Source organism: Homo sapiens, chromosome 5 (genome assembly GCF_000001405.40).
Source record: "Homo sapiens chromosome 5, GRCh38.p14 Primary Assembly".
Taxonomy (NCBI): domain Eukaryota; kingdom Metazoa; phylum Chordata; class Mammalia; order Primates; family Hominidae; genus Homo; species Homo sapiens.
In genome coordinates this window covers 121,821,069-121,834,816 of record NC_000005.10, presented here as the reverse complement: position 1 = coordinate 121,834,816, position 13,748 = coordinate 121,821,069, and the positions used below count along the sequence as shown (strand labels likewise).

At 37.4% G+C, this 13,748-nt stretch overlaps 2 long non-coding RNA genes across 3 annotated transcripts in view; one reads left to right on the top strand and one right to left on the bottom strand.

Moving 5' to 3' along the window:
• The window catches only part of LOC105379149 (uncharacterized), a 49,301-nt gene extending 43,970 nt beyond the window's left edge, over positions 1-5,331 (bottom strand). For both annotated transcript variants that reach the window (XR_948712.3, XR_001742862.1), the window contains exon 1: positions 5,235-5,331. This is a non-coding gene — a long non-coding RNA (uncharacterized LOC105379149). The remainder of the gene's footprint in view (positions 1-5,234) is intronic.
• Positions 2,451-13,143, top strand: LOC105379150 (uncharacterized). Its single transcript, XR_001742865.2, has 3 exons — positions 2,451-2,510; positions 2,710-2,831; positions 13,036-13,143. It is a non-coding gene; the product is annotated as an uncharacterized LOC105379150 (long non-coding RNA).
• The last annotated feature ends 605 nt before the right edge of the window (positions 13,144-13,748 follow it).

Below are 13,748 nucleotides of genomic sequence, written 5' to 3'. Positions count from 1 at the left end.
AAACCAGTCAAACTCTGCCATTTGGCCTCTTAATGTATATGCTTGAGCCTACTCGCCTGACTCCTAGATCTTACCGGGAAGCTGCTGATCACCAGTTGCAGGTGTTACCATCTACTGGGAGACAACCTTTCCCTGGTGCCAGCTGTGACCAATTATTACTTTAGAGAGACAGGGTGACAACTGCCTGACCATAATCTGATGGTCACCTGACATTCCTGGTGTGTGTTTGGGTCAGGGGGAGCCCTCTCCTGTCCTGCTCATGCCTGACTAGCTACCTGCTATAATAGCATTATACTGGAATGTTTGCTTGGTGACCTGTGTTGCTCCCCAATCATTCAGAGTCCCGCCACCTAAAACCAGGACTGTCATCTATGGTTGTGCGGTTTGTGCTCTTTGTAGAAGTGGGCACAATGGAGGGGTTTACAAGAGGCCAAAATCCTGCCTGTGTTTCCTCTTAAGTCTGTATCCATTAAATAAAAGGAAGCCCATAATTCACAATGCTGTTCATGTGACAATCTGGGCCCAGAGGGGTTGCTATTTTTTAATTTGCACAAAGGTGCTTTATGACCTGCAAGAATCCTTATAAATATGATACTCTTTCCAAACACAGATCTCATTGTCAGAACTAACTTCTTCTGTGTTCGTAAAGGTCTTGAATAAAACTTTGTTTTCACATTTAGAAAGCATCTCTAGAGGAAAGACCAGCCATTGTTCTTTCATGTTTAGAGCTGATGAATTCACGTAATGGTTGAAAGAGCTATTTTCTTGGAGGAATTAAAATAGAGATTTATTTTTGCTTACTAGTAATTACATATTTTTTGGTCTATGGAACAAGCTTTAATTTTTAAGTGAAACTTCTTAGCACTCATTATTTCCCTTTTAAATTGTTTAACTTGTAAACCTTCAGTTTGATGGTTATACATCTATACAAGTGCCTTTTATGCTTTAACAAAAGTATATTTCAGCATTGCTTGAGATGAGAAGCTGTTTTATTCTTCACAGCATGCGTGAGCCTAAATGTGTAATGAGTGTGTGTGTTTGTACATTAGCATTTCTATGAACAATTCTTATGTGAATGTGTATTGTCATTTATGAAGAACCTCTAAATTGGGAATATCTTCTGCTTAGATGAAAGCAGTTAAGAAAATAAAGTTACTTCTATATGTTTAAAATGATCTAATTTACAGCACTCTCAGCATGTTCCTTATGTGATTGCTAGAAATATTTTGAAGTGGCAGTCTTGAAAGTGATGAATCATTTTGACACAGAGTATTCTGAAAAGCCTTGAAGTCTTTAGTGCTGTGAGGTGTGATTTTTGCAGATATGCGTGATCATTAGTATCTGTCTTTTGTCACATCCAACACTTTCCGTTTAGGACCAACCACAGTCAAGAACCAGGTTAGGGAGAAAGATACTCAGAAAAGATTTAGTCCCCTAAACATGACATTGTCTGAAATACCCACAGGTCACAGAATTGGCTTGACCCCGCCTTATTAAAAAAAAGTAATGGTAGAAATCAGATAGTCTTATAGCATTTCTGTCTTAAGAAAGCCAAAAATGTAATAGTCTAATATGGAATGTATTAAAAAAATCATTTAGAAAGCTGGAAGGGACAGATTTTGTGACTCATTATTGAAATTTAAATTTAATCCTTGATGATGCTTATATAAAGAATTATATAAATAATTTAGAGTGAGACTTGATTCTTTTTTAACTTTGAGAAGTGGTGAATGAATGGCAGCTATATGTGCAGCATCTATAGTTAAAAGGCAGGTATGAATGTTATGCCTGTTTTTGATCAATGCTGTTTTTCTTTTATTTATAAAAATCTGAGAAAATGATAGTTATGAACTAAAGTTTTCTAAGTCTTTTACATTTTGGCTCTTACATTTTGTTTCTATCCAATGTTTTAACCCCATTCTGCTGAACCAGAAAAACATTCTTGGCAGAAATACAGAGGTCAGTTTTCAGATTTGATTTGTGGGCTAAAAATGAGTTTATTACTATTGTACCGGATAATTTTATAATTTTATTTTCAAATAATGGCATTTAACAATGACTTGATACTTAGAAATTATGTGTGAAGGTGATTTTAAATGTAGAAAGTACAAATTGGTTTCTAACAATGTCAAAAATATCCCACTTTTCTATATAAAGTAAGTTATACCTTACTTTATATGGAAGAATACATTATATTTAAATGTACTTATTGGAGCCTTTATTTCAATAGGTGCAAACAACTGAATTAGCCAGATATATTGATATAGAATATTTGAACTAAGTATCATATATAAGAAATGAATAGTGATTAAGCAAAACTACCACCTAAAAGATATACTTCTAAGAGACTGTCAACATAATAAATGAAAGGTAGCCTCCACCTTCACCCCAGATGTCTACCTCCTGGTATACACACCCTTGTGTAATCCCTTTCCTTTGATTGTGAACTGGAGTTACTGACTTGTTAATGACTAGAATATGGCAAACATTATGGAATATCACATACAACAGTAAGTGAAAAGAAGACTGTGGCTTCTATTTGGGGATTTCTCTTGCTTTTTCTTGGATTATTTTTGCTGTGGGGGGAAACCAGTTGCTATGTCATGAGGCAGACCTCTGCAGGGGACTGAGTGAGCTTAGATGCAGGTCTTCTGAGACCTGCCAACTGCCATATGATTTACCTTGGAGGTGCATTCTCTTCCTGTCCAGTCTCAGAGGAACACAGCTTCAGATAACAGTTTGATTGCCATTTCATGAAAGACCCTGAGCCAGAGGCACCAAAGTAAGCTACAACCGGAATTCTGATCCACAGACACTGGGGGATAATAAAGGTTTGTTGTTTTCGGCTGCTAATCTTACTATGCCGTGATAAGTAACTAACATATTTGTTAATTTATTAACTAGTATTAACTCATTAACCACCAGTCATTTCTATTTTAATATAATTTTTATATGCTTTCTTACTAAAGACAGCATGAATTGGACAATGCAGATCTACAGAGCATGTGAATTTGTTTATATTACATGTTACTGATATTTTCAGGAATAATATGTTTTAAAGGGTAGGAAAGTTTTATATTTCATAGTGTATATTTGATTTCTAAATTTCAGGCATACTTAAATTCAGGGAGGAAAGTGTGAGAAATTTAGAAATAGAAATTATAACATAAGATAAAATCCATTTATTTTAGACTTTTCTGACCATTGGTCTATATCATCTTTTGATAACCCTGTGTTTAAAATTAATTTCATGCAGCTCTTTATAGCATACAATTGCATGTATTGTTTATATACTAAACAGGATTTTTCTGACCCTCCTAACTTGCTTCAGTGGATCCATGCCTCTTATTTCTATGGATAAATAAGATAGAGTGTGTTCTACTAAGGGTTTAGATTACAGATAAATGAGTATTTTACATAAAACCATGCTGCCTCCTAACAACACTATAGAGGATGTCAAACATAATACCTCTAAGTATATTTCAGTAGTATAAAAATGGCAACAAATTGATTATGACAGTTTCAACAGGTGATCTCAAAACATTTTTTAAAAGTAAAATTCCCATGTCCAGTGCAGTTCCTAAATAGGGCAATGACTGTTATCTTTATGAAAAATACAAGAGCCCCTTATGACAAACCCATAGCCAACATCATACTGAATGAGCAAAAGCTGGAACCATTCCCCTTGAAAAATGGAACAAGACAAGGATACCTATTCTCAACACTCCTATTCAGCATAGTACTGGAACTTCTAGCCAGAGCAATCAGGCAAGATAAAGGAATAAAAGGCATCCAAATAGGAAAGGAAGGAAAATTATCCATCTTTGATGATATGATTCTATACCTAGAAAATCCTAAAGACTCTGACAAAAGGCTCTTAGAATTGATAAACAACCTTAGTAAAGTTTCAGAAAACAAAATTAAGATACAAAAATAAGTAGCATTTCTAAACACCAATATCCATACTGAGAGTGAAATAAAAAACACAATATCCCTTTCAATAGCCACAAAGAAACTGAATTACCTAGAAATACAACTAACCAAGGAGGTGAAAGATCTCTACAAGGAGAACTATAAAACACTGCTGAAAGAAATCAGACACAAATAAACGGAAAAACATTCTAAGCTCATGGATTGTAAGAATCAATATCATAAAAATGTCCATACTGCCCAAAGCTATTTACAAATTCAATGTTATTCCTATCAAACTACCAATGTCACTCTTTACCCAATTAGAAAAAAAAAATATTCTAAAATTCATATGGAACCAGAAAAGAGCCTGAATAGCCAAAGCAATTCTAAGCAAAAAGAACAAAGCTGGAGGCATTACACTACCCAACTTCAAACTGTACTAAAAAGCCACATTAACCCAAACAGCATGATATTGGTACAAAAACAGGCACTTAAACCAATGGAACATAATAGAAAACTCAGAAATAAAGCCACATGCCTACACCATCTGATCTTTGACAGTGCTGAAAAAAATAAGCAATGGGAAAAAACCCCTATTTAGTAAATGTTACTGGGATAATTGGCTAGCCATATGCAGAAGATTGAATCTGCACCCCTACCTTTCATCATATAAAAAATTTAACTCCAAATGGATTAAATATTTAAATGTAAGATCTCAAACTATAAAAATCCTGGAAGACAACCTGGGAAATATTCTTCTTGACATCAGCATTGGCAAAGAATTTTTGTCTAAGTCCCCAAAAACAATTGTAATAAAAACAAAAACAGATAAATCAGACCTAATTAAACTAAAGAGCTTCTGCACATCAAAAATAGAGCAAGCAGACACCCTGCAGAATGGGAGAAGATATTTACAAACTATGTATCCTACAAAGGCTTAATAGTCAGAATCTATAGGGAACTTCAATTGATAAGCAAAACCCAAATAACCTCATTCAAAAATAGGCAAAGGACATGAACAAAACACTTCTCAAAAGACATACAAGATCGCAGCTCCTACTCAGATAGACAGAGCAGTGTGCGGAGGCTTGCATCGTGAATTTTGGCTCCAGAACAACTGAAAGAACAAACCAGGAATCCCAAGAGGACCCACAGGTTCTCTAAAGGAAGGAAGCAGACTGTTCCTGCAGGACCCGGGAGACACCCCAAATACTGTGAGGCCCCAGCTGTGGAAGTGGGAAAGGGAGATTCACCACTCCCGAACAAACAACTCCACTGGGAAAACCGAAGGACTAGTTTGTGGGAGAAGTTTCCAACCTTACCTGGACCTGAGTCAATTTAGAGAGCTGAGCGAAATACAGGGGTAGAAGAAGCAAAGGGGAAGGACTTGGGAGCTGGCTGGTTCCCCAAGCAAGCCATTCCTGCCTGGCAACACAGGGATCCTTCTGGAGGGTGGCCAGAGGTGCGGGGGAAAACACCACAAGGAGAAGGAAGTCTCTGGCTGAACTCTGTGACAATTTGGACTGGGAGAGAAGACTCCTGGCCAGAACTTGGGAGGGTGTGAATCTGGCATGTAGAGTCCACAGGCTGGGGCAGAACCAAAGCCCTTTTCTTTCGCAGCTGCGAGGTGGGTAGCCTGAGGCAAGTTCTCAAGCCCTGCTCACCCGCTGTCTGGAAACAGACTTGGGGCTGTTATTGGGGGCATGGTGGGAACGAGACCGGCCCTTCAGATTGTGTGGGAGCTGGATGAGGCCTGTGACTGCTGGCTTTTCCCCACTTCCCTGAAAATCTGCATGACTCAGCAGAGGCAGCCATAATCTTTCTAGGTACATAACTCCATTGACCTAGGAACTTCACCCCCATGCCCCATACAACTGCAGCAAGAACTGCCTGAGGAGAGTCTGAGCTCAGACACACCTAGCCTTGCCCCCACCTGATGGTACCTTACCCACCCTGGTAGCTGAAGACAAAGGGCATATACTCTTGGGAGTTCTAGGGTCCCACCTACCACCAGTTTCTCTCTAAACTACCACAGCTGATGCTGTCTGGAAAGTGCCACCTCCTGGCAGGAGGCCAACCAACACACAGAACATTAAGCCACCAAAGCTAAGAACTCTCACAAAGTCCATTTCACAACCATACCCCCTGCCACCTCCACCAGAACAGGTGCTGGTATCCATGGCTGAGAGAACCATAGATGATTCACATCACAGGACTCTGTGCAGACAATCCCTAGTACCACCCTGGAGCTGGGTAGACTTGTTGGGTGGCTAGACCCAGAAGAGAAATAACAGTCACTGCAGCTCGGCTCACAGGAAGCCACATCCATAGGAAAGTGGGGAGAGTACTACATCAAGTGAACACTACCCCAAAGAATGTGAACAAAAACCTTCAGCCCTAGACCTTCCCTCTGACAGAGCCTACCCAAATGAGAAGGAACCAGAAAACCAACCCTGGTGATATGACAAAACAAGGCTCTTTAACACCGCCCCCCAACCCCCCCAACACACAAAATCATACTAGCTCAACAGCAATGGATCAAAGCCAAGAAGAAATCCCTGATTTACCTGAAAAAGAATTCAGGAGGTTAGTTATTAAGCTAATCAGGCACCAGAGAAAGGCAAAGCCTGATGCAAGGAAATCCAAAAAACAATACAGGAAGTGAAGGGAAAAATATTCAAGGAAACAGATAGTATAAATAATAAAAACTTCAGGAAACATTGGACACGCTTATAGAAATGCAAAATGCTTTGGAAAGTCTCAGCAATAGAATTGAACAAATAGAAGAAAGAACTTCAGAGCTCGGAGACAAAGTCTTTGAATTAACCCAACCCAACAGAGACAAAGAAAAACAAATAAAATATGAACAAAGCCTCTAAGAAGTCTGGGATTATGTTAAACAACCAAACCTATTGAAGTCTGAAAGTTTGGAAAACACATTTGAGGGAATAATCGAGGAAAATTTCCCTGGCCTTGCTAGAGACCTATACTTCCAAATGCAAGAAGCACAAATAACACCTGGGAAATTCACCACGAGAAGATCATTGCCTAGGCACATTGTCATCAGGTTATCTAAAGTTAATTTGAAGGAAAGACTCCTAAGAGCTGTGAGACAAAAGCACCAGGTAACCTAAAAAGGAAAGCCTATCAGATTAACAGCAGATTTCTCAGCAAAAACCCTACAAGCTAGAAGGGATTGGTGCCCTATTTTTAGCCTCCTCAAACAAAACAATTATCAGCAAAGAATTCTGTATCCAGTAAAACTAAGCATCATATATAAAGGAAAGATAGTCTTTTTCAGATAAACAAATACTGAGAGAATTAGCCGCTAGCAAGCCACCACTGCAAGAACTGCTAAAAGGAGCTCTAAATCTTGAAACAAATCCTGGAAATATATCAAAACAAAACCTCTTTAAAGCATAAATCACACAGGACCTATAAAACAAAAATACAAGTTAAAAAGCAAAAACAAAAAAAAAACACCAAGGTACACAGGCAACAAATAGCACAGTGAATGCAATGGTACCTCACATCTCAACACTAATATTGAATGTAAATGGCCTAAATGTTCCACTTAAAACATACAGAACCACAGAATGGATAAGAACTCGCTAACCAACTACCTGCTGCCTTCAGGAGACTCACCTAGCACACAAGGACTCACGTAAACTTAAAGGAGTAGAAAAAGGCATTTCATGCAAATGGACACCAAAAGTAAGCAGGGGGGTAGCTGTTCTTATATCAGATAAAACAAACTTTAAAGCAACAGCAGATAAAAAAGGGGGATATTATATAATGGTAAAAGGCCTTGTCCAATAGGAAAATATCATAACCATAAACATATTGTTAGGTTCCACTTAACACTGGAGCTCTCCCAAATTTATAAAACAATTACTAATAGACCTAAGAAATGAGATAGACAGCCATACAATAATAGTGGGGGACTTCAATACTCCACTGACAGCACTAGACAAGTCATCAAGACAAAGCCAACAAAGAGACAGTGGATTTAAACTATACCTTAGAACAAATGGACTTAAATATATACAGAATATTTCGTCCAACAACTGCAGAACACACATTCTATTCAATAGTGCGTGAAAATCAAAATGATATCAAACACTCTCTCAGACCACAGTGGAATAAAACTGGAAATCAACTCCAAAAGGAACCTTCAAAACTATGTAAATACATGGAAATTAACCTGTTCTTGAATAATCATTGAGTCAAAAATGAAATCAAGATGGAAATTAAAAAATTCTTCCAACTGAATGACAATGACAACCTATCAAAACCTCTGGGATACAGCAAAGGCAAAAGGAAAGTTCATAGCCCTAAATGCCTACATCAAAAGACAAAGAGCACAAACTGACAATCTTAAGGTCACACCTCAAGGAACTAGAGAAACGAGAACAAACTAAACCCAAACCCAACAGAAGAAGGGAAATAACCAAGATCAGAGCAGAACTAAATGTAATTGAAACAAAAAAGTACAAAAGATAAGCAAAAAACTCATCCTTTAAAAGATAAATAAAATTGATAAACCATTAGAAATATTAACTGAGAAGAGAGAAAACCCAAATATCTCCCATTTTGTTTCTTAATGAGGTTATTACAGCTGACACCACTGAAATACAAAAGATCATTCAAGGCTACTATGAACACCTTTATGCACATAAACTAGAAAACCTAAAAGAGATGGATAAATTCCTGGAAAATACAATCATCCTAGCTTAAATCAGGAAGAATTAGATACCCTGAACAGACTAATAAGTAGCAGCAAGATCAAAATGGTAATTTTAAAATTACAAACAAAAAAAATCCAGGACCAGATGCATTCACAACAGAGTACTACCAGACATTCAAAGAATTGGTACCAATCCTTTTGACACTATTTCACATGATAAAGAGGGGATCCTCTCTAATTCTATGAAGCCAGCATCACCCTAATATCAAAACCAGGAAAGGATATAACCAAAAAAAAAAAAAAAAAAACTACAGACCAATATCCCCGATGAACATAGATGCTAAAATCCTTAACAAAATACTAGCTAACCAAATCTAACAACATATCAAAAGGGTAATCCACCATGATCAAGTGGGTTTCATGCCAGGAATGCAGAGACGGTTTAACATACACAAGTCAATAAATGTGATACACCACATAAACAGAATTGAAAACAAAAATCACATGATTATCTCAATAGATGCAGAAAAAGCAATCAACAAAATCCAACATCCTTTTATGATTTAAATCTCTCAGCAAAATCAGCATACAGCAGACATACCTCAATGTAAAAAAAGCCATCTATGACAAACCCACAGGCAACATGGGAAAAGTTGAAAGAATTTCCTCTGAGAACAGGAAAAAGACAAGGATGACCACTCACACCACTCCTCTTCAACACAGTACTGGAAGCCCTAGGCAGAGCAATCAGACAAGAGGAAGAAATAAAGGGCATCCAAATCGGTAAAGAAGTCAAACTGTCACTGTTTGCTGATGATATGATCATTTACCTCAAAAAACCCTATGGACTCCTCCAGAAAGCTCCTAGAACTGATAAAAGAATTCAGGAAAGTTTCTGGATACAAGATTAATGTACACAAATCAGTAGGTCTTCTGTATACCAATAGTGACCAAGTGGAGAATCAAATCAAGAACTCAATCCTTTTCACAATAGCTGGAAAAAAAAAAGTACTTGGGACTATACCTAAGGAGTTGAAAGACCTCTATGAGGAAAACTACAAAACAGTGCTGAAAGAAATCATAGATGACACAAACAAATGGAAACACATCCCATGCTCATGAATGGGTAGAATCAATATTGTTAAAAGAACCATACTGTCAAAAGCAATCTACAAATTCAATGCAATCCCCATCAAAATATCACCATCATTCTTCACAGAATTAGAAAAAACAATTATATCTAAAATTCATATGGAACCAACAAAGAGCCCACATAGCCAAAACAAGACTAAGCAAAAAGAAGAAATCTGGAGGCATCATATTACCTGATTTCAAACTATACTATTAAGCCATAGTCACTAAAACAGCATGGTACTGGTATAAAAATAGACACATAGACTAATGGAACAGAATAGTGAACCCAGAAATAAACCCAAATACTTACAGCCAACTGATCTTCAACAAAGCAAACAAACAACAACAACAAAAAAAAAAAAAACGGGAAAAGAAACTGTTTTCAACAAATGGTGCTGGGATAATTGGCTAGCCACAAGTAGGAGAAAGAAAGTGGATCCTCATCTCTTGACTTATACAAAAATCAACTCGAGATGAATTAAGGACTTAAATCTAAGACCTGAAACTATAAAATTCTAGAAGATGACACTGGAAAAACCCTTCTAGACATTGGCTTAGGAAACGATTTCATGACCAAGAACCCCAAAGCAAATGCAATAAAAACAAAGATAAATAGCTGGGATTTAAACTAAAGAGTGTTTGCGTGGCAAAAGGAACAGTCAGCAGAGTAAACAGACAACCCACAGAGTGAGAGAATATCTTCACAATCCGTGCAGCCTGACAAAGGACTAATATCCAGAATCTACAACAAACTCAAATCAGCAAGAAAAAAAACAATCCCATCAAAAAGTGGGCTAAGGACATGAATAGACAATTCTCAAAGAAGATACACAAATGGCCAACAAACATATGAAAAAATCTTAAATGTCACTAATGATCAGGGAAATGCAAGTCAAAACCACGACGTGATACCACCTTACTCCTGTAAGAATAGCCATAATCAAAAAATCAAAAAACAGTAGATGTTGGCATGGATGCGGTAATCAGGGAACGCTTTTACACTGGTGGTCAGAATGTAAACTAGTACAGCCACTATGGAAAACAGCATGGAGCTTCCTTAAATAACTAAAAGTAGAACTACCATTTGATCCAGCAATCCCACTCCTGGGTATCTACCAGAGGAAAAGAAGTCATTTTACGAAAAAGATGCTTGCACACACATGTTTATAGCAGCACATTTTGCGAGTGCAAAATCGTGGAACCAACCCAAATGTCCATCAATCAATGAGTGGACAAAGAAACTGTGTGTGTATATATATAATAGAATACTACTCAGCCATAAAATGGAATAAATTAACAGCATTTGCAGCCACCTGGATGAAATTGGAGACTATTATTCTAAGTGAAGTAACTCAGGAGTGGAAAACCAAACATTTAATGTTCTCACTGATATGTGGGAGCTAAGCTGCGAGCACACAGAGGTGTAAGAATGATACGATGGACTTTGGGGACTTGGGGGGAAGGGTGGGAGGGGTCGAGGGATAAAAGGCTCCAAATAGAGTGCTGTGTATACTGCTTGGGTGATGGGTGAACCAAAATCTCTCAAATCACCACTAAAGAACTTACGTAATCAAATACCACCTGTACCCCAATAACCTATGAAAAATTAAAAAAAAAAGACATTCAGGTGGCCAAGAAACATATGAAAACATGCTAAGCATCACTAATCATCAGAGAAATGCAAATCAAAACCGTGATGAGATACCATCTTGCACCAGTCAGAATGGCTATTATTAAAAAGTAAAAAACAATAACAGATGCTGGCGAGGCTGTGGAGCAAAGAGAAAGTTTATACATTGTTGGTGGGAATTTAAATTAGTCCAGTCATTGTGGAAAACGTTCTAGAGATTCTGAAAGAGCTAATACAGAGCTACCATTTGACCCAGCTATCCCATTCCTAGGTATGTACCCAAAAGGAACTAAATCATTCTACCAAAAAGACACATGTACTCATATGTTCATTGTTTCACTATTCACAATAGCAAAGACATGGAGTCAACCCAGGTGCCCATCAATGGTAGATTGGATAAAAAAAATATGGTATATATGTACCATGGCATACTACACAGTTATAAAAAAGAATAACATGTCCTTTGCAGGGATATGGTTGGAGCTGGAGGCCATACTCCTAAGCAAATTAATACAAAGACAGAAAACCAAATACCATATGTACTCACTTATAAGTGGGAGCTAATCATTGAGCACGTATGGACGTAAATATGGAAACAATATATACTGTGGACTACCAGAGGGTGGAGGGAGGGGTGTTGGCGTAAAAAACTACCTATGAGGTACTATGTTTGCTACCAGGGTGATTGGATCCGTATTCCAAACCTCAGCATCACACAGTACTCCTGTGTAACAAATATGCACATATACTCTCTGTATCTAAAATAAAAGTGGAAATTTAAAAAAATTTGCAAAGACTTGGCAGTTTAAATAATGGTAATATTCAACTTATTTAAAAAATGTTTTCAATATTAAAAGAAAAGCACACCCAAATGTTAAACTTCTATCAAGAAAATAAAGAGGTGTAATACAGTGTGAGAAGGTTACAGTGACATATGCATATGGCTAGCCACCCCTCCTCAATCTCCAGAAAATCTAAGTCCTAGATCATAATGATAGTTGAGCTGGATCAAACAGCCACTCCACCCCTAACAGACCATTGCTATGTTTTTCCAATGGTTGCTGGTACTCTCTGGTTAGGTCTCCATTTCTAAAAGTAAAACAGATGCTCATTTTCCTTAAAATGAAGGTCAAAATTGAAATTTAGGAATTTAGCTAACATTTTTGGCTACGGAGAAAGTAGGCCATTTGTTTATTTGGAATAAAGGGTAGAGTAAATATGCTTGGTTTTCTGGCGAAAGCCCACCCTAAATTATCATTGCATAGGTTGGTTGAGTAGCCAATATTCGAACAGCTGTCCAAAACCGGTTGTCTGAAAACTAGCTAAAAAGCTGCTGCTGTTTGGTAACTGTCGTAAAGTGATAACTACAAAGCATACATCAACAACTCTGTCACTCCCTTTCCTTTTACAAAGTGTATTATGTGTACAGCGCAAAATTTTATACCCTTGGTCCAGTGCTATTATGAGTTTTTGTTTGCAACAAAGCACTGAAATGTCAGGCTTAATGAGAAAGGAAAGCATCATGCAGAGTGTGAGCACTTTCACTCCTTTGGAAAAGCATCTTCCTAACCAGGCTAATCAAGTTTTGTAGTGACACCAGAAAATGCTCCACCTGTTACACTGTAGGATAATGGAAGAATCTGAAATGCATTCTTATCTTCCTCTCTCCTAGGGCACTGAATGAGCTGTAAAAGGTCAGAAGAAGCCATCCTGAAGAAACAGCTAAATAAGTCATTAAATTTCTTTATATATCATGAAATTAAACACAATAGTCACAATACACTGTATTTAATCATTCCTTTCTTTCAGAGCTATTAGCTGCTTTCTCCTCCATCAGCTCTCTGAATGATGTGCATTTTATTGAGGCAGAACAGTGTGGTGCTTGAAGCCATGGTTATGAGAGAAGTAATAAGACAGAACTTTGGCATTTGTTGCTTCAACAATGTTTTCTAAAACCTATCATAGTTTGTTATTTTACCAAGTCACAAATTTGAATTGTATTCAGAGGGTGTTAGATATGGGAAAAGAGTCACCTTGTTTTTGAGTAAGCTTTGACTACTTTTAATGTTTGCAATTCAAGCAAATTTCATTGTCCCTTACTCAAATTGAGTAGTACTTTTGAAATGTTACTGTATTATTTGATATTTTGGGAAAGCATAAAGTTTTTCAAATTAATTCCTTAAGAATATCAAAGGCAACTGGTAAGAGTCCAGTTTGCCTGAGGTTTCCCGAGACCAGTAGAACCTTCCAGTTTGGGCACCTGATACCTTAATATTCTGGGGAGAAAGTAGGACTTCATGATTTGCTTAGAACAGTTTCTCCAATGAGAGAACTACACGTAAGCTTACCAAGGACAAGGCCGTTTTCTTGATTGAAGATCTATAA